At 50.7% G+C, this 25,363-nt stretch overlaps 4 annotated features.

Moving 5' to 3' along the window:
• Positions 2,783–3,392: an enhancer, noted in NCBI's record as "NANOG-H3K4me1 hESC enhancer chr10:132821112-132821721 (GRCh37/hg19 assembly coordinates)". NCBI's record gives its function as "activates a minimal SCP1, AML or CMV promoter by ChIP-STARR-seq in naive H9 embryonic stem cells {active_cell/tissue: H9 hESC(naive)}" and the evidence as "EXISTENCE:reporter gene assay evidence [ECO:0000049][PMID:30033119]".
• Positions 4,348–5,278: an enhancer, noted in NCBI's record as "H3K4me1 hESC enhancer chr10:132822677-132823607 (GRCh37/hg19 assembly coordinates)". NCBI's record gives its function as "activates a minimal SCP1, AML or CMV promoter by ChIP-STARR-seq in primed H9 embryonic stem cells {active_cell/tissue: H9 hESC(primed)}" and the evidence as "EXISTENCE:reporter gene assay evidence [ECO:0000049][PMID:30033119]".
• Positions 15,739–16,528: an enhancer, noted in NCBI's record as "H3K4me1 hESC enhancer chr10:132834068-132834857 (GRCh37/hg19 assembly coordinates)". NCBI's record gives its function as "activates a minimal SCP1, AML or CMV promoter by ChIP-STARR-seq in naive H9 embryonic stem cells {active_cell/tissue: H9 hESC(naive)}" and the evidence as "EXISTENCE:reporter gene assay evidence [ECO:0000049][PMID:30033119]".
• Positions 16,529–17,317: an enhancer, noted in NCBI's record as "H3K4me1 hESC enhancer chr10:132834858-132835646 (GRCh37/hg19 assembly coordinates)". NCBI's record gives its function as "activates a minimal SCP1, AML or CMV promoter by ChIP-STARR-seq in naive H9 embryonic stem cells {active_cell/tissue: H9 hESC(naive)}" and the evidence as "EXISTENCE:reporter gene assay evidence [ECO:0000049][PMID:30033119]".

The following is a 25,363-nucleotide window of genomic DNA, read 5'->3' on the forward strand; positions in this document are numbered from 1 at the left end:
GAGGGCAAGGAGACCTATTGAGAAACTGGGCAGATTGCCCTGAGGGAGGTCCTGTGATGGCATGAGGTCTCCTGGTCTGTTGGCTGCCTCTGTTTGTATTCCTCATCCCTACAGGGCCACACCCTGCATCCCTGCAGGGCTCACATCCCACACCCTTGCAGGGCTCACACCCCACACCCCTGCAGGGCTCACACCCCACATCCCTCCAGGGCCCACACCCCACATCCCTCCAGGGCTCACACCCCACATCCCTCCAGGGCTCACACCCCACATCCCTCCAGGGCCCACACCCCACATCCCTCCAGGGCCCACACCCCACATCCCTCCAGGGCCCACACCCCGCATCCCTCCAGGGCCCACACCCCGCATCCCTCCAGGGCCCACACCCCGCATCCCTCCAGGGCCCACACCCCGCATCCCTCCAGGGCCCACACCCCGCATCCCTCCAGGGCCCACACCCCGCATCCCTCCAGGGCCCACACCCCGCATCCCTCCAGGGCCCACACCCCGCATCCCTCCAGGGCCCACACCCCGCATCCCTCCAGGGCCCACACCCCGCATCCCTCCAGGGTCCACACCCCGCATCCCTCCAGGGCTAACACCCCACATCCCTCCAGGGCTCACACTGGGAGACTTTCTTTCCCAGGGCCCACACCCCACATCCCTCCAGGGCTCACACCCCACATCCCTCCAGGGCTCACACCCCACATCCCTCCAGGGCCCACACCTCACATCCCTCCAGGGCCCATACCCCGCATCCCTCCAGGGCCCACACCCCGCATCCCTCCAGGGCCCACACCCCGCATCCCTCCAGGGCCCACACCCCGCATCCCTACAGGGCTCACATTCCGCATCCCTCCAGGGCTCACCCTGAGAGACTTTTCTTTCCCGGGGCTCAGGCCCACCACCCAGGTGACTCTGTGACTCTTATGTGGTGCTGGGTAAATTCCCCAGGAAGGGGCTGGTCTGATGGGTGCAGAGCAACCCAGTTCCCAGGGTGGCAGAGAGCAGATCTTGCCTGCCTGGCCAGAAAAGAGTCCTCTGGAAGAAGAGTTGGTTTATTGTGGTTACTTGTGAGATGGTATTTGGGGGCCCTTAGACGGAATTATACCTGACATTTGCTGCCATTTATACTTTTTCTAAGGATCTTCTTGCATTTGATTTTTTTGATTTACGTTGGTATTATACTATAAAAATAATTAACATATTACACAGCAGCATTTTTTCCCATCACCAAACCCAGCCTCTTCTGCCATACTGGGCGCTCACTCCCTGACTCACCATCTCTTGGCCTCACTGGCGGCCAGCGGGCAGGTTTCCCAAGCTAGACCCTTCTCCAAATTGCACAGCTGCGTCTTTTCCCCAGGGCAGCTCAGCACCTCGCACGTCCTCAGCTGTGGTGCTTCTGTGGCCCAGGGATCCTGTGTATCCCAAATTCCTGTTTCTGGTCCTTCCCTTGGCTCTTGTCTCCTAATAAGACCCCTGCTGGTCCTCACGTAGTTCAGACCTCGCCCCCACGCAGACACCTGCCCTGCTCCCTTCCACCCATGCCCCTGATGTTTCTGCCTGCCCGATGCGGTGCCTGCCACTGCTCAGGGCCATAATCTGGTGTCTCTGAATCTCCTGGCTTTGTCCTCACAGAACCCTAAGATCAGTCCCTGAGATCCGCCCCATCTGCTGAGAGCCTCTGCAGTCCACCCTCTCCTCCCCGCCCTGCCGTCCCTGTTCTGATCCCAAAGCCCGTGGCTTTCTGCCGCATGGGGGGTTTCCCAGTGTGTTTTCCATAATTACCCCCTAAGGAGCCTTTTCAGACATTTTCCTGAAATGGCCTTCCATGAAATGTTAACACCACAGACTCTGTCCCTGCTTATGTACTGTGTATATATTGGTGCTATATATGTAAAAAAAAAAAATGTAAAATCTTTCTGCCTTCCAAGAATACATTTTTGCTGCCCCCATCATCCCCACTGAGATGCATGGTGGAGAGAAGGTGGCTGGACAAATAGACTGTTTGTGGGTTACAGGAAGGACCGAGGCTGGCCAAGCACAGGGCAGCAGGTGGGAGCATGAGGGCTGCCAAGACCCCTCAGCAGGAAGGCTGAAAAGAGGCGGTGGTATGACTGCAGCTAGAGGGAGTCACAGCTACAGAAGAAGGCTCCTAAAGCACAGACACTGTGCTAGACCTGGCCGCTGCTGGAACTAACATCCGGCTCCCTCTCCTCCCATGCTAGACCCTTCTCCCATTTGCACAGCTGCACTTCTGGGGCTTCCCACTGGCTGAGCTCAATGGAAGTTGTTATCTCACTTGGCAATGGCCATGCTCCCAGTGACACAGGGCAGGACACGATGGTCACTCTGCCAGGACACAAGGCAGGACTCCATGATCATCGTCCGTGGACACAGGATAGGACACCATGGTCATCCTCTGAGGACACAGGGCAGGAGGTGATGGTCATCCTCCCTCGACACAGGGCAGGACGCCACGGTCATTGTCCCCAGACAAGAGTAGGAGGCCATGGTCATTGTCCCAGGACACAGGGTAGGAGGCCATGGTCATCGTCCTGGGACACAGGGTAGGAGGCCATGGTCATGGTCTCGGGACACAGGATAGGACGTCATGGTCATAACCCCAGGATGCAGGGCAGGAGACGATGGTCATCATCCCAGGATGCCATGGTCCTCCTCCTGGGACACAGGGCAGGATGTCATGGTTATCATCCATGGACACAGGGCAGGAGGTGGTGGTCATCCTCCGGGACTCAGGGAAGGGTGCAAAGGTCTCCGTCTGGGGCACAGGGCAGGAGGGAAGGTCATGAGGAATCCAAGTGGGTGAGTGCTGCAGGATCTGAGGCTAACTAATGAGGGAGTCAGACAAAAGGCACATTTCAGAGACAGAAAAGAAATTGGCAACTGCACAGATCACACGTGCGTCCCACAGGTGAGGGAAGGGAAGACTCCAGCCCTGATAACACAGCACAGCCCTGGTGAGCCTTGTGACCAAAGTCGATGCCTTCCCAACCTGTGCTGGGCAGGACAGCATGGAGGAGAGAGAAGACAAGGCAGAGGAAGGTAGGTGGCTGGGAAGATCAAAGAATGTGCCTCGGGGCTTCAAAGGAGAGAAGAACTCTCCAAACACTTTGATTAGCAGCAAGGGGTCCTGTTCTCCTTCCCTAACAGCTCGAAGCCTCAGGCTGGGAGTACTGTGCAGATGCTGAGTGACAGGCAATGATAACTTGGCCTCCAGAAAATAGTCACACAGCAGGGACCCCAGAATAGAGAAAGGGCAGTGCCCTTGAGCCCCATCTCCTTCACCCATGAGGGAAGTGCAGCACCTATGTCCTGATGTCCTGGTGGCCCTCCAGGATGGCCCCTGGGTTGTGCCCCAGGCCTGTTCTTTATGCATCAGGACCCTCACTCTCCTCCTCTGCTTCATAGTGAGACAGCAGCTACCAGGCAAGGCTGTATGAGACTCAGGAAGTGCAGGCAGAGCCTGCTGAATGCACCCGGTGTCGGCATGTGACCATTCACTATTCAGGCTGATAGGAGGACATGCATCCCCCAAATATCATTTTTTTAAATTTGGCACAAAACCTTGTCAGTCTCACCAGTTGAGTAACCCCTCCTTCCAATCATTTAAGAAGTGCTGCGGGGAAAAGATGAAATTTAGCTACATGGCTACCTTGCATTCATGTCATGTTAAAAACACAAGCCTTAATTAATGGCAAATAATGGAATACCTCCACCCACGGCAATTAAACAGCCACTGCAGGTGCAGCGATACCTCCAGAAATACGTCTGCTAAGAAATGAGAAAAGGGCTGGGCTGGCTTAAGGGTGAGCCTGCAGCCTGGGATGGAACTTGGCCTTCCTGGGAGGTGTGTGCCCCCAAGAGCCTTGCCCCAGAACATTCCACACATCAACAGCTCAAGGAATTCCTCCAACACTCACCAATAAAGACCACTTCTCACCGAGAAAGTGGGTGCCACACACAGAGGGCTGCAGGGAGCATGGTGGGTGCTGGGTTAAGCACTGCTGCCTGGAACCTCTGCATGAAAGCTGTACTTGGCATCGGCCTGAGTCTGTGTTGCGTGTTGCTAAAACAGAATATCACAGACTGGATAATTACGAAGAAAAGACATTTATTTCTCACAGTTCTGGGAAGTGCAATATCAAGGTGCTGGCATCTTACAAGGGCCTTTTTCCTGTGCCATCCCAGGGCACCAGCTGAGAGAAGGGGAGAGAGAGACACATGAGAGAGAGAGAATGCAACAGGAGCTCAACTCTCTGTTATAACAAACCCACCCTCATGATAAAGAACACACTCTATGATGACAACACTAATCCATTCACAAGGACAGAATGTACCTCATTCCTTAGTCATCTTTTACTCGGCCCCACCGCCCAACACTGTTGGGTTGGGGATTAAGTTTTCGACACTTGAACTCTGGGAACACACTCAGATCATAGCGGCATCCTAACAGCCTCGGTTGGTTGGACAGGCGCATGGGTCACACCGGAATGTTTTCCTGCTGGAAAGACACATCAAATAAACCGATTTCAGAGTCTGGTGCCTTACGACTGAGAATCTGTAGGCACAAACAGCAATTTGGAACGATTAACGTATTTCTACTTTTACATTTTTAGGGCAGCAAAATGTAAGAAAGTGGTTTCAGGGTGCCAACGTGGAGCAGCCTGTCCTGGCAGGGCCCTGCGCTGCCTTGCTCCTCTCCTGGGGGCCTGGGCCGGGGGCGAGTGTTGGGACTTTATTCCCAATGCCTTTTCCAGTGACCCTGCCCTCTTGCCTGCCATCTGCCTTGTTCCTGGAGACACTGGAGATCCTGGCTTGTGGGAACCACATGTCTGTCCCTGCCCACCTCTCCCCAACACCCCCATGCTGAGCAAGGGGCATGGAATGCCGGTTTGCAGATAGGACCATCTCATGCCCTGACTTGTGGAGACACCCTGCTTTTATAGCCATTGAGCCAGTGCAGGGAGACCCAGAGATCCAGGTGCTCAAAGGTGTCCTGGTTTGAACAACAAGTCCAAGATCACCCTACGAAGGACAAATGACTCTATGAGTGCGTCTTAGTCATCAGAATCCCACAGCCCACTCTCCAGGGGGAAGCTGCTGGCTCTGCTGATGCCCACTGGTCTCCCTGCAGGACCCAGCTTCCTAAAGGGCCAGCAGCACAGACGCCACACAAGCTTCCTCACCTGGGACCTCCCACCAGGGTATGGGGAAGAGGACATGGGCCAGGAGGAAGGGTGACACAGCTATGTAAAACTACCATGACAGGGACCATGTTCCCTCCTTCCCTTATCCCAGCTGTGACAAGATAATTGTGAAGCTACATGCCGGTGGAGGCTGCAAGATCTTCCCGGTCTCCAATTCCTGGGGAAGGCACTCACGCCGGCTCCCAGAGGACAGATGCTGTGGAGCACAGGGACGGAGAGCCAGGGGCCAGGGGAGGACACGACAGGAGGCTCCTCCTCAAAGTAGAGGCTGAGGCCATCCCCGGGGGGAAGGAGCTTATGGCTGCAAATCAGAACCAGGTATCCCAGAGCCCAGATGAGATCTCTGCACCAGGTCCACGCCCTGGAGGGAAGAAAGCATGAGGGCCCTCAAAGCAGAGAGGGCACGGATGGAGACTAAGAGGGGAAATGAAGGGCCTCAGCCCATCGCTGATGGCAGAGCTTAGAACCCCTAGGAGCAGTGGCAGGGAGTCTCAGAAACCCCAGGGAATGCACGGGAACTCTGGGCGGCTAATGAGCATTAGCCCCACCTGGCAAAGGAACCCTTCGATTCGGCAGGCCCACTCGCAGCTTCTCTGTGGTCACCCCACCCAGGCCCTGACGTTGCCCCACAGTTGTGATACATTTAAAAGGTTCAGATTCCAGGCTAGGCATGGTGGCTCATGCCTGTAATCCCAGCACTTTCAAAGGCTGAAGCAGGCAGAATGCCTGAGGTCAGGAGTTTGAGACCAGCCTGGCCAACATGGTGAAACCCCATCTCTACTAAAAATACAAAAATTACCCTGGCGTGGTGGCACACACCTGTACTCCCAACTACTCGGGAGGCTGAGGCAGGAGAATCGCTTGAACCCGGAAGGCGGAAGTTGCAGTGAGCCGAGATTGCGCCATTGCACTCCAGCCTGGGTTACAGAGCGAGACTCTGTCTCAAAAAATAAAATAAAATAAACAAATAAAAGATTCAGATTCCAGTGGAAAAATAGATTTGAATCCATTTTATTAAAACATAAATAAGTGTCCTGGGACTTGCCATGGCCAAGAACAACGAAGTCAGGCAGGCTTTGGGGAAGTGAGCCTCCGACACAAAACAGAGGAAAAATGGGAGTGCTGGGACACAGCCAGGACATCCTGAGCAGAAGGCAGGACCTTGGGAAGTCACGTCCAGCTTCCTTGACACCCCTGTGGCCAGCAAAGCCCTTAGAGAGCCAAGGGGCAGGAGCCAAGGAGAAGCCACACACCCTGCCTGTTTTAATAAGGGAGCCGATGGGGGAGACACCCCTGCACTGACTTTGCCTCGTGGTTTTCCTCTGGCCACCTCAGGCCTTTCTGAAACGGGGCAATGGACGCTTTACCTGGATGCTGGCTGCTGAGGCAGGCGATGTCCAATTTCCAAGGCCCTTCTCCAGGTCCTCATGTGCGTCTGCGGCAGACACACCAGGACCAATGCTCACAGGCTGGGCTTACATCCAGCACATGCTTCAATTATTGACAAAGCTTACGATCGGAAGGACACATGCCATGGCACAAACGTGCAGGTGGGAAACTGTTGTACAGCTATGTTTTGAAAAGATGTCTTATTTTTATTTACCATTTTAAAGAAAATTTCCTTAAAAATAATTTAGTCATTTAGGAAAGAAAGAAGCCTATGTCTGATGCGTTTAGCAGAAATTAGCAGAGAACACTCAAAACGTGACTGATGGGCCCCCAAAGCCACTCACCAACTAATTTTGAGTCTGGCACTATATCAATGCCGGGCATGAAAATGAAGAAAAAGAAAAGTAAGAAAAGTAAAACAAAACTCGTCGTTCTTCTCTTCTTGTCTCCCTTATTCTCTCCCTTTTTCCTCTTGTTCACGCATTTCACACATTTCAAGCAGGCACTAAGGGTTAGAAACTTGTGTTTAGGGAGTAAAACAGCTACTTCAGCAGGTGTCATTGATGACTCCAATTCCTCACCCCTCCCTCCACCTTTCAGGACTGCACTGCAGTGGGGCAGGCTGAGGGGCTGCTCGTCTGCACCCGCTGGCTGGAGGCTCAGCTGTGTGACTTGCTGTGAGCAGTGGCATGAGAGCAGTTGTGTCCATGAGCAAGTCATGAAAAGTGCTGAAGGGGTCGGGCCTGCTCTCTTGGGCCCCTGCCTTTGCCATCAAGAGCACGTCTGTCTGGGCTGCTGGTGCAAGAGGAGCATGGAAGATTCTGCAGCACAACCAAGACGCCGCAGCTGAGCCCAGCCCCTCCCAGGCAAACCCTGGCCAAGCACCACCCACAGCCAAATCAGTGCTGATGTTGTCTGTCACCAAGCTTTTCTAGTTGTTATGCAGCCTTTCATAGTTGTGCGATAGATACAGCTACTAGCTCCCTCTCCTAAGAGTCCTGGGTTGATGTGCCGGTGAGACATAAGCTGAAATTTGGCTAAGACAGCGAAAAAACATTTGCCATTCACAGTTCCTAAAGTCTGACACACACACACACACACACACATACACACACACACGCTCCAAACTGACCACAAAGTCAATACAATTTAGACCCTGTCTCTAGTTGGGCCAGGAATGGGAACTCACGGTTAGGGTGGATGGAGATGACTTCCTGGGATCCCATGAAGGAGCTGCCTTTCCCTGACTTTAGTTGGGCCAGGAATGGGAACTCACGGTTAGGGTGGATGGAGATAACTTCCTGGGATCCCATGAAGGAGCTGCCTTTCCCTGACTTTAGTTGGGCCAGGAATGGGAACTCACGGTCAAGGTGGACGGAGATGACTTCCTGGGATCCCATGAAGGAGCCACCTTTCCCTGAGCATTTGGGTTTATGCAAGTTTTGCTTCAGTTGTGTGTCTTGTTTGTCACAATAGTGAAAAGATGTAAGAAGCATTTGCAGAACCTTCTTAACTACAGGTGCGCATCATTCTGTTGCACTTTACAGATATCATGTTTGACAGATTGAAGATGGGGGGAGCCTGGCATCCACCACCTCTGCTGGAACTTTTCCACGAGCATGTTGTCACTTCATTTCTCTGGATAACATTGTAGGAACTCTCACAATAGTTCAGACTTTGTCCTTATTGTGACATCTGTGATGGTGATCTGTGATGATCTTTGATATTATGAATATAATTATTTTGGGGCACCATGAGAGGCACCCACATAAGACAATAAACTTAATCAATAAATGCCGTGTGTGTTCTGATTGCTCCGGTCACCGGCGCTCCCCTGTCTCTCCCCCTCCGCTCAGGCCTTTCTATCCCCTGAAATAAACAATATTGAAGTTGAGCCAACTAAGAACCCTACCATGGCCTCGAAGTGTTCAAGTGAAAGGAAGAGTTACATGGCTCTCACTTTAAATAAAAAGCTAGCTATGATTAATCTTAGTGAGGAAGGCATGGGTTGAAAGCCTAGATCAGTCAAAAATTAAGACTTTTTCACCAGCTAGCCAAGTTGTGAATATAAAGGAAAATTCTCGAAGGAAGTTAAAGTGCTACTCCGGTGAACTCACAAATGTTAAGAGAGACAGCCTTATTGCCGATATGGAGAAAGATTGAGTGTTCCGAATAAATTAGACCCACCATAACATTTTCTTATGCCAAATCCTAATTCAGAGCAAGGCCCTACCTCTCTTCAGTTCTATGAAATCTGAGAGAAGTAAGGAAGCTGCAGAAGAAAAGTTTGAAGCTGGCGGAGGTGGGTTCATGAGGTCTAAGGACAGAAGCTGTCTCCATAACACAAAAGTGCAAGGGGAAGCAGCAAGTGCTGATGGAGAAGCTTCAGAAAGTTACCTGGAAGATCTTGCCAAGATCACTGATGATGGATACACACACACACACACACACACACACACACACACACACACACACACCAGATTTTCAATGCAGACAAAACAGCCTTCTATTGGAAGAAGATGCCATTTAGGGCTTTCACAGCTATAGAGGAAAAGTCAATTCCTGGCTTCAAAGTTTCAAAGCAAAGGGTGATTCTCTCGTTAGGGGCTAAAGCATCTAGGGACTTTCAGTTGAAGCCAATGCTCTTTCACCATTCGGAAAATCCTAGGGCCCTAAAATTTACGTTAAATTTACTCTGTCTGTGCTTTATAAATGAAACAGCAAAGTGTGGATGACAGCACATCTGTTTACAACACAGTGTAATGAATATTTTAAACCCACGTTTAAGACTCACTCTCAGATAAAAAAATGTTTCTTTTCAAAATACTACTGCTCATTGACAACACAGCCTGATCCCACAAGAGCTCTGAGATGCCCAAGGAGATGAATGTTACTTTCACGCCTGCTAACACGACACCCATTCTGCAGCCCATGGATCAAGGGGTAATTTTGACTTTCAACTCTTATTATTTAAGAAACACATTTCATGGGCCGGGTGCAGTGGCTCACGCTTCTAATCCCCACAATTTGGGAGGCCAAGGTGGGCAGATCACCTGAGGTCAGGAGTTCGAGACCAACCTGGCCAACACGGTGAAACTTTGTCTCTATTAAAAATACAAAATTAGCTGGGTTTGGTGGTGCATGCCTGTAATCCCAGCTACTCGGGAGGCTGAGGCAGAAGAATCACTTGAACCCGGAAGGCAGAGGTTGCAGTGAGCCCAGATTGCACCACGGCACTCCAGCCTGGACAACAAGAGCAAAACTCCACCTCAAAAAAAAAAAAAGAAAAAGAAAATAAATACATTTCGTAAGGCTGTACCTGCCATAGATAGTGATTCCTCTAGCGCATCTTGGCAAAGTACAAAAGTACATTGAAAACCTTCTGGAGACCGGGTGCGGTGGCTCATGCCTGTAATCCCGGCACTTTGGGAAGCCAAGGTGGGCAGATCACAAGGCAGGAGGTCGAGACCATCCTGCCTAACACGGTGAAACCCCATCTCTACTAAAAATACAAAACAATATTATCCAGGTGTGGTGGCAGATGCCTGTAGTCCCAGCTACTTGGGAGGCTGAGGCAGGAGAATGGCATGAACCCGGGAGGCAGAGTTTGCAGTGAGCTGAGATTGCGCCACTGGACTCCAGCCTGGGCAACAGAGCAAGACTCCATCTCAAAAAAAAACGATAACAAAAAAAGAAAACCTTCTGTAAAGGATTCACCATTGTAAATGGCATTAAGAACACTTGTAATTCATAGGAGGAGACCAAAATATCAACACCAATAGAGATTTGGAGGAAGCTGATTCCAACCCTCACGGATGACTTGCAGAGGCTCAAGACTTCTGTGGAGGAAGTGACTGCAGATATGGTGGAAAGAGCAAGAGAACTAGAATTAAAACTGGAGCCCAACTGAATTGCTACAATCTCGTAACACTTGAAGTAATGCGGAGTTGCTTCTTATAGATGAGCAAAGAAAGTGGTTTCTTGAAGTGCAATCTACTCCTGGTGAAGATGCTGTGACCACTGTTGAAACAAGAACACAGGATTTAAAATATTCCGTAAACTTACCTGAGGAAGCAGCAGGAGGATTTGAGAGAACTGACTCCAATTTTGAAAAAAGTTCTACTGTGGGTGAAGTGCTGTCAAGCAGCATCGCATGCTGCAGAGAAATCTTTTGTGAAAGGAAGAGTCAAGGGATGTGGCAAACTTCACTGCTGTCTTATTTTATGAAATTGCCATAGCCACCCCAACCTTCAGTAACCACCACCCTGATCAGTCAGCAGCCATCAACATCCTTCGATCAATTGAGGATTGATGGAACATCCTTCATCAATCATCTGAAGGTTCAGATAACTGATTGTTAAAAACTTTTAGTAATAAAGGATTTTTAAATTAATGTATATACATTTTTAGACATTATGCTATGACATGCCCAGTAGACCACAGTATAGTGTAAACATAACTTTTAAATGCACTGGGAAACCAAAAAACTTGTGTGAACCACTTTGTTATATGTTGGCTTTATCGTGGTGGTCTGGAACAGAACCCACAATGTCTCCAAAGTGTGCCTGTAAAGATCAAGGAAGACTCGGTGTAAATACCAATTAGTTCTGTGGAGACACGGCAGTTCCATGGGTAAACTTGCCAGCTGTCCGAGTCAATGCTCTCATTCTAGGAATCCAGATACATTCTTCTCATTTTCTTTATAAGCCACCCAGAAATGAGGTATTAATTCTGGGTTCCCTCGCTGCAATCGGAGGATCCGCAGGCCTCCATCTCTGACGGCATGGCTCGCACTGTAACCATCAGGCCCTCTTGCCATGACAGCACAAGAGAAGGTGGATCTGAGGGAGGAGGAAGTGGTCAAGGGGGCGGGTATGACACACGTCTCATTCTCCCTCCCCGTGACTCGGCTTGGTTAACGAAATGCACCGTGTGATGCAGTGGAGTCCCTTTCTGGATCCGTCCCGGGTTGGCTCCTTGCAGGGAGGGAACTCGGCTGAGGATGAATTTGGACAGAACACTCAGATGGGAAGGCTCTTTCTGTCCTTTTAACCTCTGAGTTTCTAACATACCTGTAATTCTATTTATTTAGAAAGTTATAACACCTGAAGATCGACTTTTTTTTTGTTTTGTTTTTTTGAGGTGGAGTCTCACTCTGTTGCCCAGGCTGGAGTGCAGTGGTGCAGTCTTGGCTCACTGCAACCTCCACCTCCCGGGTTCAAGAGATTCTCCTGCCCCTGCCTCCCAAGTGGCTGGGATTACAGGCACCCACCACCACACCCGGCTAATTTTTGTATTTTTAGTAGAAACAGGATTTTACCATATTGGCCAGACTGGTCTCGAACCCCTGACCTCAGGTGATCCACCCACCTCGGCCTCCCAAAATGCTGTGATTACAGGTGTGAGCCACTGCACCTGGCCAAAGATAGACTCTTAAAAATTTAACTCATTTAACAGAAATGGGCATTTCTTATTGCAGTCAAATTTTTATTTTTCTTCTCTCTTTTTTGTGGTAATGTGATTGGCTTTCTATTTCCATTCTGGCTGGGCTTCATATTCCAGAATGACACTGAATTAAGTCAGGAGCTGGGGTGAGGAGAGAGGAAAGAGATAAGGAGCGAAGAGGACAGAAGCTGCCTCACAGGCTGGTCCCCATCACCGCGCCAAGTGAGGGTGATTTACTTTGTGTTCACTCGTCTTCCCCGGCACAGACACAATCTAAAAGCAATCAGAACTCTGACCCCACAGTGGCGGCACCTGTGCCTTATAAGGCGGAGCACCCCACGCTGTTCCCACAGATGATCCAAAAGGCACAGGAAAATCTCTGTTGTCCGCAGAGACGTCAGCCGCCACGCTAAGGGCGTCTTGTGGGGTTTCTGCGGTGAGGGCATTGCTCCTGGGCAATGGAAGTGATACCCACTGAATTCACAGGGCCGCCGGAACCACCATGCCAGCGTCATGGGCTTCTCGCTCACCGTCCTGCATGAAGAGAGCGAAGGATTGCTGAGAAGGCCCTTGCTTTCATATCCCCTCATTTATTTTTCAAAGCAACCAGCTAAGGTGGGTGCATATTCTTACCCCCTTGGCAGAGGCACAGAGACGATAGTAACCATTCAAGGACACACAGCCGGTGTGTGCGGCTCAGGGCACTGAACCAGGCCTGTGGAACCCCAGGCTCATGCTAGTCCTCTTCATGGCACAACCTGGCTCCCGGTGTGATGGTTGGACCTGGATTTTCCTCCCCACTGGAGGTAGCAGGGTCACCAATGGAGGAATGCTCGCAGGGAAGCCCGGCCCTGCCCCCAGCGGAGACCCCCCCACCCAGGTCCCTTCTGATCTAGAAAGAGGCTCAGGTGCTGCAAGCTGGGCTCCCCAGTCTGCACCTGGGTGTGCAGCACCAGTGCTGGGCAGGCTGCTGAGTGGCCAAGGAAGGGGGAACAGAGCCTCTGTCCCTAGGAGTTTACCATCTTAATGAAGATATAACACCCTGTAGAAGCAGACGGTGTGTAAGAGCCAGGCAGGGGCATATTAGGACTTACTGAGCCCAGAAGTGTGCGGAGGGCTATGAGCAGACACGTGATCCCACTGAGGACGGGGCGTGGGGTCCCACTGAGGACAGAGGGCTCGAGGTTCCACTAAGGATGGGGGCACAGGGTCCTACTGAGGGCAAGAGGCATTAGGGTCCCTGTGGAGAGAGTGGCATGGGGTCCTACTGAGTAACAGGGATGGGGGGCACTCACCGTCTCTCCTGGGAGCACATGGGGCACCAGCCACATTTACCAGCTGGAGAGTGAACCTTCTGTGAAGGCTTCTCCATGCAGAACACAGGCAGCAGCAGGGGGTCTGGATACGCAGAAAGATGGAGGTTGGCTTTGCACATGGCGCTGGGGCAGGACCAAGGTGATGGAGCTGGGATTGCACATGGGACCAAGGCGAGGCCTCAGGCAGTGACTGAGCTGGGCATGCTTCACCCAAATGACCAGGATGTCCTGTGCACCTGGGGTGGGTGATGGCAGTGAGGATTATGTGGGTAACAAAGCAGTCCTGGCAATGGCAGCTGCAGGTATACTCCCCTTCCAGAGAGTGTCACTGTGCAAGGCAGGGTGTCCCTGCAGTGGGTGGGCACCTGGTGCAGGGCACAGGCATGGCCAAGACCCCAGTGCTCAGCCCCTCCCACAGCCTCTGGGGTAATGGGGTAGCAGAGGACACCCAGGGTCCAAGAGGGAGGTAGGGAGGCTCCTGGGGAATGTGGAGCAGGAGCAGGAGAGGGCATCCCTCAGACATGCAACTCCTGGGGTTCCTGGGCCTGCACTGTGGGGCCTGGGTAGGGCCAGGCCCTGCAGGAGGCTCCAGCCAGGCAGAGGCAGGCCAGGTTGGGCACCTGCAGTCTCCAGGACACAGCTCTTCTGCTTCAGTGATTAGTAAGCTGTGAAATATTTTTAAAACAAAGAGGCAGAGAGAACATCATAATGAGAATATAACATGATTGAGGCCCCTGCAGTTCACCTCAGAGCCCCGTTCCACTGTTTCCCTCCCCGGAGGCCCCCACCCTCCTGAATGTGTCCTTTGTTACCTGCATGCTTTTATATTTCTTATAATTTCAAGTTTTATTTTCGATTCGGGGTATATGTGCAGGTTTGTTAGGTGTTATATTGCATGATGCTGAGGTTTGAGTTCTGTCACCCACGTAGGGAGCACAGCACACACGGTAGGTAGTTTTTCAGCCCTCATCCCCCTTCTTCCGTGCCCCCTCTGTGAGTCCCCGGTGTGTAATGTTCCCATCTTTACGTCCGTGTGTACTCAATGTTTAGCTTCCACTCGTAAGTGAGAACATGCGGGATTTGGTTTACTGTTCCACCTGCACAGTCTTACACTGGCGTCATATCAGGGCTACCCTGGGGACTTCATAGGCTGTGCCCTGCGAGGAGCACTCAGCCAGGGCTGAGCTGGGGCTACAGGGAGTCTGCACCCCAGAGCCCTGCATCACAGGCCCCACCAGAGCCAGCACCAGCTGCTTCCTTCAAATGTGTCTGCCCAGAGGGTGTACCTTATTCTATGAGCACAGAAGCGTTGTGTATGCCCAGGGAGAACTGTGATTCACATATAAATCCATAAACAATTTGCATGTTCTAACATCCTATGTAAACATCATGCTGTCTGTCACTTGCTTCGTTTGGGAGATTTGGACCCACACTGATGTTTGTGGCTCCAGGTTGCTTATTTCAACAGCAGTGCAGTAGTAGTGAGCCTCATAAGCCCACCACGATTTATCTCTCCATTTTCTTATTCATGGAAATTCAATTATATTCCGTTTTTTGCTGTCACGAATAACTCAGCAACACATGTTCTGATCCGTGTCTCCGTAGACCTAGCTGGAAGAGTTTCTTTCTAAACTGCACAGGTATTTGCTTAGAAATACAATTTGGGGGCATCTTCATCTTTACCAGGTTTTGCTAAATTGCCCTAAAATGTGGTTGAACAATTTCCTCTTCTCCACCAGTGTAGGATGGCTCTGGTCAGACTACTTTCCTGCCAAACATTGATTCTGACCAACCAAGCCAGATGGTTTCTTATTTTAATACACATGTTTCTAGTTAATTGTGAGGCTCAAAAATGAAATGCATGTTTTTGGCTGTTTATGGTTTCTCATCTGTAAGTTATCTATAGGCCTATCAGGTTTTGCCTTTCTTCTTATTAATTTATCTTAGACATTGGTTATCTGCATTGCAAATGTCTTCTCTATGTTTGTATTTTCATTTTTTCTCCAGTATTGACTACTGTAGGAAATGGAAAACTTTTTAATGTTACCACATTTTTCAGCCGTTTCTTCTATGACTTTTGTTTTATGTCTTATTTACATCTTTTCCTTTCCTCAGAGTCAAAGACGCTCTCTTAAAAATTTTTCTAAAACCTTTAAAAATCCTTTAGTTTTTGTTTCTGTTCCATTTCTGATACACAGAAATGTTTGAAAATTATTTCTGAGCCTAGCGGTGTTTCCTCGGCTTCCTTGTTCTATATTTTATGGATCATTGATCTGCATTTGAAGTTAATGGAGTGCAGAGAATCATAAACCAGCAGCTCCATCCCGTTCAGAAGGCAGCTCCAATTCTTAGGGACTTGAGACAAGTGGAGAGGAAACAGGAGCTTTGGGGATGGGGAACGGGAGGGGGAAGACACTCCTTGGTCTCATCCAGGTAGTCTTAAATCCAAAGGTAAAGTTTCTCTGACCTCTGTTCTTCAGAGGTCAACAAAAAGCCACGTGGGGAGTCTACCAAAGTCGTGTGTTTCTTCCGCGTGAGTCATAGGGACGGAGGGTTTGGTTCTCCAGCTCGCTTCATAAAATCGTCCGGCCTTTCTCTTGCTGGGGAACCAGGATCCGATCAGGAAGTAAGATTCACTGGGGCGACCTCTCCATGCGTTCTCAGCAGTTTCCTCTTTAAAATAAAGTTCCCAGGGCCTGAGGCAGGCTGGAGGGAACCCTGGAAGGAAGGAAGCGTCCCCCCAGTGTCCCTGCCTTCGCAGGTGCCACAGATATCCTACTGTTTTGGATGCCCTGCCTCTGTGCAGTCAGGCTAACCCCACACTCAAATGCTTGCACTGCTATTACAGACAAGCGCATGAGATCAGCGAAGGGACCCCTGTGGACTCAGCCCAGGGATGTGACAGGTGACAGCCCCTGCTGTGGCTCTGTGCTTGTCCCCAAGAATGGCCACAGGTCTTGTGTGACCAACAAGGCTGAATTGCCGGGGGCTGGGTCCACTTTGTCCGATAACATTCTCTGAAATCCTCCCCTCACAAGGCATTGGCTCACATCCCATTGTTTGGAAGTCCTGTCTTCTGTCCCAGGTGAGCTCCGGCAGACAGGAGTGGGGAGGGACAGGTAGCATAGCCTTGTGCTCAATAGTGATCTGTGCAAATGTGAAGTTAGATGTAGCTGAGGCTCTGGGCTCCGGACATTTCAGGTCTCTCCTCTTCTGGCCTCGGTCTGTGTTCACCCCTAAACATCAGAGCCAAGCGGACCCTGTGCTTGTGGTGGTCGTGCTGGTCTGATCCGCTTCCTCCCATCTGGGACCTCTTTCCCCCTAATCTCATGCAGATTTTTTCTGGCTGTCCTTCACCCAGTGAAGCCTGCCCGATGCTCCGTCCTAACATTTCACTCACCATCCTGCCTTTTTTCCCTTCAACAGCACTCACCTGGAAATCCGCAGTGACCACGGATCCTGCTGTGACCCATCTCCCATGGGGCTGGGGGCAGACTGTGCATGTGGGCGGTGCTGCCTCTTCCTACCTGGGCTGCTCACCACTCCACCTCCAGCCCCCACAGCAGTGTCTGCATGAAGATGAGGCTCCATACGTGTGGAATGCAGGCATGAGCATGGTTCAGAGGCTCACAGGACTCGGCACGTGATTCCAGTCAGTCCAAGGGGTACTGATGTAGCTCAAACCAGTTCCTTCAGAATTCTTCCTGGGAAGCAGAAGGGAAGAAAGCTTCCTCTCCCCTTTAGGTCACGATCTGTAAGGACAGAGACTTTGGGCTGCCAGCAGCCGTCTCTCCCTCCAGATGAAGAAGCCCATTTGCGGCCCAAGGGCCCAGTGGCAGCGGAAGGAGAGGAGTGGCACTGAGGGATGAAGACTTGGAAGGAGGAAGAGACAGCCCCGGAATCCAGCTGTTGTGAAAGCTGCCCTTGGAAGTACAAGGTCCCTAAATCAATCAATTTGCCTCTTGGCTGGGGATTCCAATACTTGCAACTCTTTGTGTTATGGATATCATGGTGTGCCCAGCCTTGGGCTACCACTCGAGAGCGGGCAGGGCCCCATCCTGAAGAACCATTCGTCCCCTACCATGTTGGAGAAGTATGGGGCTTCACACACCAGCACTGCTGCTCAGCCTCACTGCTTTGCTCCTGCAGAAGGGCACTGAAGGTTCCTCAGGCCCCTGGCCTTCTCCCTTTTATCCACAAAGCTTCATGGATGGGACCCAACTTCTCCTAGGAATCCATGTAGCTGTGCAGATTCTCTCCTGCCCGCAGTCCTCCCCCCGCCTCTCTTTCTTGCTAACTTCACCTTGCTTGGGTTTGGACAGCCACATGCTCACCCAAGAGCTAGAATCAGGATCTGTCCACATTGATGACACAATCTGCTGCTTCTTTGTTTAGGAGGGCATGGAACCAGTTGACCCAGTTTTGGCAAATGAGAACCAGAAGTCGGCAGGATGCTATTTTAAAATATATATTTAAATTCTGAAATAGCTTAAGGACCTCATAAGTTGCAACAGTCATACCATGAGTGCCCGGTCACCCTTCCCCTTGTCTCCCTCCATGATAACGTCTCACACAAACCCCACGTCATCAAAAGCAGGAGACTGGCACAGGTGCAATACTGGTGACTCAAACAGTCTTGGATTTCATTTGTTTTTGTATGAACTATTTTTTTAAGGTTTGGCATATCATTCTAATAAAATTGATCACATAAAAATTCAAGCCATCATCCACGTAACCAGGATGCAGAACTTGTAGCACCACAAAGAATCTCCCTCCTGCTACCCCACTGGTCCTGTCCTTGCTGAGCCTGAGCCCTGGCCACCGTTGATGCGTTCTCCGTCTCTATAGTGTCATCATTTCTAGAGCATTGCATGAATGCAGTTGTACAGATGCCACCATTTGAGACTGGCTTTCGTCATTCAGCGTGATGCCCTGAGACCCTTTCAGGCCAGTGTGCACATCAGCACATCAGCATTCCATTCCCTTTTGTTGTTGTTATTGTTGTTTATTGTTGTTGTTTTTGAGATGGAGTCTCCCTCTGTCACCCAGGCTGGAGTGCAGTGGCACAATCCTGGCTCACTCCAACCTCTGCCTCCCAGGTTCAAGCAATTCTCCTGCCTCAGTCTCCTGAGTAGCTGGGATTAATGGCACGCACTGCCACGCCTGGCTAATTTTTGTATTTTTAGTAGAGACAGGGTTTTGCCATGTTGACCAGGCTGGTCTTGAACTCTTGACCTTAAGTGATCTACTAGCCTCAGCCTCCCAAAGTGCTGGGATTACAGGCATGAGCCACTGTGCCCGGCCTCTATTCCCTTTGATGGCTGAGTAGCTGCTGTTCATTGCATGGATCTTCCACAGTTTATCCATTTCACTCTTGAAAAACATGTGGGTAGTTTTCAGTTTACAGCAATTACAAATAAAGCTGCTATGAACATTTGAGCACCAGTTTTTATATGATCATCAGTTTTCTTTTCTCTAAAGTAAATATCCAGGCGTGTCATTGCCGGGTCATAGGGTAAATATATGCGTAACTGTGTAAGAAACTGACAAATCATGGTGCAGAATGGATGTACCCTTTACATTCCCACCAGCAATGTGTGAGATTCCAGCTGTTGCATATGCTTTATAGCACTTGGTATTGTCAAGTATTTTTTCTTTTACCTATTCCGATAGGTGTGTAGTATTACTTCACTTTAGATCTAATTTGCATACTCCTAATGTTTAAGGATGGTAAATATCTTTCAGGTGCTTCTTCGCCACTCAGTTCTCTAAAGAAAGAGGCACCCATGAATCTTAGTGAAGTGTTTGTTCACATCTTTTGCCAATTTGCTAATTGGATGGTTTGATTTTGTATTGTTGTGTTCAGAGTTCTTACAGATTTTAGATTTAGGTCCTATCAGGTGTGTGGCTTGAAAATATTTCTCCAGTATGTGTCTCATGTTTTCATTATCTTAACAAGATCCTTCACAGAGCAGACATTTTTAATTTTAATATAAAGTCCAATTTATCAATATTATTTTTATGGATTGTGTCTTGGTATCATATCTAATAATTTTTTGTCTAGCAATAAGTCAAGGCTTTTTCTGACATTTTCTTCTAAAAGTGTTACAGTTTTACATTTTGCATTTTGATCTTTGATCCATTTTGAGTTCACTTTTGTATAAATAATACACAAGGTATTCTTTAGGTACTAGCTGCTCTTCAGGAAGATTCACCTCCCTGGTATATTAGAGAATTGCTACAAGACGCTATAAGGTGGGCCTGTGCTGCTTCTCCATTCTCTCCCAGTTCTGGATGTTGCTGTGATGATGTGATACCAGGAGCAGTGGCAACTCTTTTAGGATCAGGAAGTAAAATGCTTCAGAATGAGGAACAACATGACAAGAACAGTGGAGTAAAGAAGAGCCACAAAACCAAGCTTGAGACCTGATACCTCTAGGCCTCCTGTTAGGTCAATGAGTGTCCATATTATTTAAGACAATATTAGGGTTTTCTCTCACTTGAGTGTTGTGCATAGCAAGAGAGGCCCCATCCTAGCCAATGAGGTGCTTGGTATACACGGATTCATCATGATAGGGTTTGAATCTGTGTCCCCACGTGAATCTCATCTTCAATTTTAATTCCCAGTGCTGGAGGTGGGACCTGGAGATGACTGGATCCTGGGGCAGTTTCTAATGGTTTAGTACAATTCCCCTCGCGCTGTTCCGGTGAGTGAGTTCTCATGAGATCTGGTTGTTTAAATGTGTGTGGTCGCTCCCACTCCTCTTCCTCCTGTTCTCCCCATGTCAATGTGCCTGCTTCCCCTTCCTCTTGCACCGTAAGTGAAAGCTCCTGGAGGCCTTCCCAGCCACTCAGGGAGGAACCATGCAGCCTGTGGAAACATAACCAATGAAACCTCTTTTCTTTATCAATAACACAGCCTCAGTCATTTCTTTACAGCAATGTGAGAACAGACTAATACAGGTCACAACCTTTCAGTCCCAGAGTCCACATTCATGAGCCCAACAGGGAATGGAGGAAACTTCTCTCACGCATTCTCGGCAGAACCCAGCAGAAGGCAGGAGTCGGTCCCAACCGTGAAGAAAGAAGCAAACATCCACAGCTCACAGGGGCCTCACAGCTGGCCAAGTTCCCTGCAGAAAGTAAAAAGTTCCTCTTCAAAGTTTCCCTCCTTGTTAAAAAATAAGCCATAAGTGTTAGAAATAATAGTTTCTTTTAAAGACTAACTTCCTTTAAGCTTCCTTACTTTATGCTAGTGACTCTTTGTTGGGCCCTATCCTATGTACCTGTTAAACATGCTGACAGGCACGTAGTACGTTCCATGTCCTTGTACCTTCACCAAGATTTTTGTGCCGGACATGCTCACAGGCACGCTCCAGCTCGTGGCCTATGCCCCTTCCCTATTTGGCATAAGCAACTTCCTCTTTTCCTTTGTCTTTCCCTTACTTTTACCTATTTAGAAAAGTTTTAAACTGTTAGCCAATCGGGTTTTAGTTTAAATTGTGTGGTCTGACTCCAGCCAATGGAGACAGGACCCAGTAGCAGGGACAAAGTGTATAAGGAATAAAGATTGCTTCCCTCCTTTGTTCGGGTGTGCTCTGACCATTATTCCATCTGTGATTAGCACCCTTTCCATAGAAAGTAAAGATTGCCTTGCCGAGACGATTCAATTTATGTTTGAGTGCTATTTCTTTGCGGCACCAGGGAACAAGCATTTACATATAACATTCCCAAACTCCAGGGTCCATCTGTGTTTCATCGACTTGTGAGAGCGTGAAATGTGTAAGGGTATGTTCAGCGTTAAGCTTGACAGACTGAAATGGCACCAGTGGATTTCTCAGCAGCAAACCCACGGGGAAACCGTGTGGACTTTTCAGAAGAGGCCGCTGCTGGAATCCCCACCACATCTCTCCTTGGTCTAATTACAGGAGATGTTCAAGGGATCTAATGGGAGCTTTCTTTGTAAATCAGGTTGCAGCTCCAGAGATGCTGAGCTGAGTGTGCTGCGTGGTTAATTGTGGCTAACAGGAAGAGGGTGGACATATGCCAATATTTATGCAAATAGCAGAGCTGCTCGGGGACTGTGCCCTGGGGGACTTCAGCTCAGCCTGGCCAACATCCAAAGACTTCAGGCCCTGCTTTCACAGGGCAATTTGGATTGCTCTGCAGATTGGATGGAAATAAATTTTGCATATCAATGCTAATGGTGTCAAGGGTCCATAATCAGCCCTCGTGCTCCTAATTTTAGACCCAGCAGCGCATCTGTGTGAAAGAGCAGGCTGGGAGTGCCGGTGGAACTCATCCTGCTGGGAGGCTAATAGCTCAGCTGTTCACCTTTCTTGGCATCAGGAGAGCTTTGTATAGGCACTGAAATGGGAGAACATCAAATCCTTAAGATGCAGTCTAACACATCCCCTGAAAGCCTAGAGTCTGCAGATTCTGCAAAGCAACTGGCCTCAGTCCGGAGCCCTGGAAGCATCAGTTGATGTATTGTGAGGATCACTCTCAAGAGATGGGGAAGAAAGATAGGGTGTTGGGGGTGGGGTAAGATAGGGTATGGGGGGTGGGGTAAGATAGGGTATCGGGAGTGGGGTAAGATAGGGTGTCGGGAGTGGGATAAGATAGGGTATGGGGGGCGGGGTAAGATAGGGTATGGGGAGTGGAGTAAGATAGGGTATGGGGGGTGGGGTAAGATAGGGTATGGGGGGCGGGGTAAGATAGGGTATGGGGGGTGGGGTAAGATAGGGTATGGGGGGTGGGGTAAGATAGGGTGTCGGGGGTGGGGTAAGATAGGGTATGGGGGGTGGGGTAAGATAGGGTATGGGGGGTGGGGTAAGATAGGGTATGGGGGGTGGGGTAAGATAGGGTATCGGGAGTGGGGTAAGATAGGGTATGGGGGGTGGGGTAAGATAGGGTATGGGGAGTGGGGTAAGATAGGGTATGGGGGGTGGGGTAAGATAGGGTATGGGGGGTGGGGTAAGATAGGGTATGGGGGGTGGGGTAAGATAGGGTATGGGGGTGGGGTAAGATAGGGTATCGGGAGTGGGGTAAGATAGGGTATGGGGAGTGGGGTAAGATAGGGTGTCGGGGGTGGGAGTAAGATAGGGTATGGGGGGTGGGGTAAGATAGGGTATCGGGGTGGGGTAAGATAGGGTATGGGGGGTGGGGTAAGATAGGGTATGGGGAGTGGGGTAAGATAGGGTATCGGGGTGGGGTAAGATAGGGTATCGGGGTGGGGTAAGATAGGGTATGGGGGGTGGGGTAAGATAGGGTATGGGGAGTGGGGTAAGATAGGGTATCGGGGTGGGGTAAGATAGGGTATGGGGGTGGGGTAAGATAGGGTATCGGGGTGGGGTAAGATAGGGTATGGGGGGTGGGGTAAGATAGGGTATCAGGGTGGGGTAAGATAGGGTATCGGGGTGCGGTAAGATAGGGTATCGGGGATGGGGTAAGATAGGGTATGGGGGGTGGGGTAAGATAGGGTATCGGGGTGGGGTAAGATAGGGTATGGGGGGTGGGGTAAGATAGGGTATGGGGAGTGGGGTAAGATAGGGTATCGGGGTGGGGTAAGATAGGGTATCGGGGTGGGGTAAGATAGGGTATCGGGGTGGGGTAAAATAGGGTATGGGGGGCGGGGTAAGATAGGGTATGGGGGGTGGGGTAAGATAGGGTATCGGGGTGGGGTAAGATAGCATATGGGGAGTGGTGGGGGTTAGGGATAGAGTGGCTTCACTCTGGGGAATGCTCACAGCCACAGTAGTGTGAGTGCACCAGCCAGGAATGGGGCCGGCACCTGAAGCATCCACTGAGTCCTTGCCTTGTACTGTTCCAGTCCACTTGCTCCTCACGTTAAATCCTCTGTCCAGACACAGCTTCCCTGGGACCCTTGCCAGGCACAGCTCCAGGGAGGGCTGTTCAGATGAAGTGCAGCCCCCATGCCACAGCCCACCCCAGGCAGCCGGCTGCTCCTTGCCTGCCTCCATCCTCCAGGTTGCATCCCCTGCCCCCAGCTGGCACTCTTCCTGGGCTGGGTGGCTCACGTGGTGGTTGCTGACTCTTGTCCCTGAGGGCTCTGAGCCTCTTGGCTCCGTGTCTTTGTCAGGCTGCAGGTGCAGCACCTGCCCATGGAGAGTAACATGAGGTACGGGGCAACCAGCACCTGCCCATGGAGAGTAACGTGGGGTATGGGGCAACCAAGGGCTCCAGTGGCTCATTTGATTGCCTGCACTTTTCTCTCTGCCTCCACTAGCTCTGGGGCTACCACAAGACGAACAGAGCCCAATCTTCTCCTTATCAGTGTTGGCTGGAACACAGTAGTTCTGGAAATGTCTCTCGTCTCCTGCATCTTGGTGGATTCCCTGAAAGCAGAAGTTGTAAGGGAAGCTATTAGCAGGGTGTTAAGAAATGACAATGAGTCAAGAAAAACAATAAAATATGAGCCTTTCCTTAAATGAGTGAAACAGGGCTGTGAGGGACTGAATTGTCAAACCCTTCCTGGGGAGGACTAGATGCCCTCACTCCTGGGGAGCAGTGGATTCCCTCACTCCTGGGGAGCACTGAAAGCCCTTAGTCCTGGGGAGCCCTGGAAGCCCTCATCCCTGGGGAGCCCTGGAAGCCCTCACCCCTGGGGGGCACTGGAAGCCCTCCTGGGGAGCACTGGATGCCTTCACTCCTGGGGAGCTCTGGAAGCCCTTACTCTTGGGGAGCACCAAAGCCCTCCTGGGGAGCACTAGATGCCTTCACTCCTGGGGAGCTCTGGAAGCCCTTACTCTTGGGGAGCACCAAAGCCCTCCTGGGGAGCACTAGATGCCTTCACTCCTGGGGAGCGCTGGAAGCCCTCACTCCTGGGGAGCACCAAAGCCCTCCTGGGGAGTACTGGATGCCTTTACTCCTGGAGAGCTCTGGAAGCCCTCACTCCTGGGGAGCACTGGAAGCCCTCACTCCTGGATAGCGCTGGAAGCCCTCAGTCCTGGGGAGCGCTGGAAGCCCTCAGTCCTGGGGAGCGCTGGAAGCCCTCACTCCTGGGGAGCACTGGAAGACCTCACTCCTGGGGAGTACTGGAAGCCCTCCTGGGGAGCACTGGAAGCCCTCAGTCCTGGGGAGCACTAGAAGCCCTCACTTCTGGGGAGCACTGGAAGCCCTCCTGAGGAGACTTGCGGGGGCCCTGCTGAGTCCTTCCCAGAACCTGGAGATCCCACGTTCTCACTTCTGCAGGAAGATGCTGGCATGGCCCCCTGAGTGTCCATGTCTTCTGCGGGGGATGGATGTCTCACGATATGGGGAAGGGACATTGAGTGGTTGGGAAGGGGCTGCACACCTTAATCATGCCCAGGAAGCCACAGGCACCACCAGGTTTCACAGGACAGCAGAAAGGGGCAACAAGATCCTCTCCCTCTGATTTTCTCTCTCTCTTAGTCTCTCTCTCTCTCACCCCATCTCTCTATCTGTCTCTCTCCACTTGTCACCATGGCAACAGGAGCGCACAATTCCCTTTCTCTTCTTCATGGTGTCAGAGCACTTGTGTGGGAGTAGCTGAACTCCATTTGGCCACCGATCCCTGAGACCACCTTTATTATAACCGTGGGAAAGAGCTCAGAGGATCGGGAGGGGGATAGCCACCATCTACAGATAACTCTCTGGGAGCCCGGCCCGAGGCCACGTGCTGGGGACCCCTGAAGTTCTTGGAGCCACATCAAGAAACGAGATTCCAGGAAAGGCCTTTACTGCAACCCTCAGCCCCCATGATGGGTGGATATGATATGCCCCTCTCCTGGTGGTTGAGGACCCTCAAGTTGCCCAAGGGAGCCTGCCAGGGTCCAGAGCATGTCAGGGCACTTGCTTGGAGGAGGTAGGTGGGTTCACCTGCTTCTTGGTCATGGTGTATTCCAGCTCAGAGGGGGCTATTAGCCTTTGGCAGCCTTGCCTAACAGTATCCAACAGGAAAGGAAAGGGCATCACCTCCTTCTCTTGGCATCTCAT

The sequence above is a fragment of the Homo sapiens genome, chromosome 10 (genome assembly GCF_000001405.40).
Source record: "Homo sapiens chromosome 10, GRCh38.p14 Primary Assembly".
Classification (NCBI taxonomy): Eukaryota; Metazoa; Chordata; class Mammalia; order Primates; family Hominidae; genus Homo; species Homo sapiens.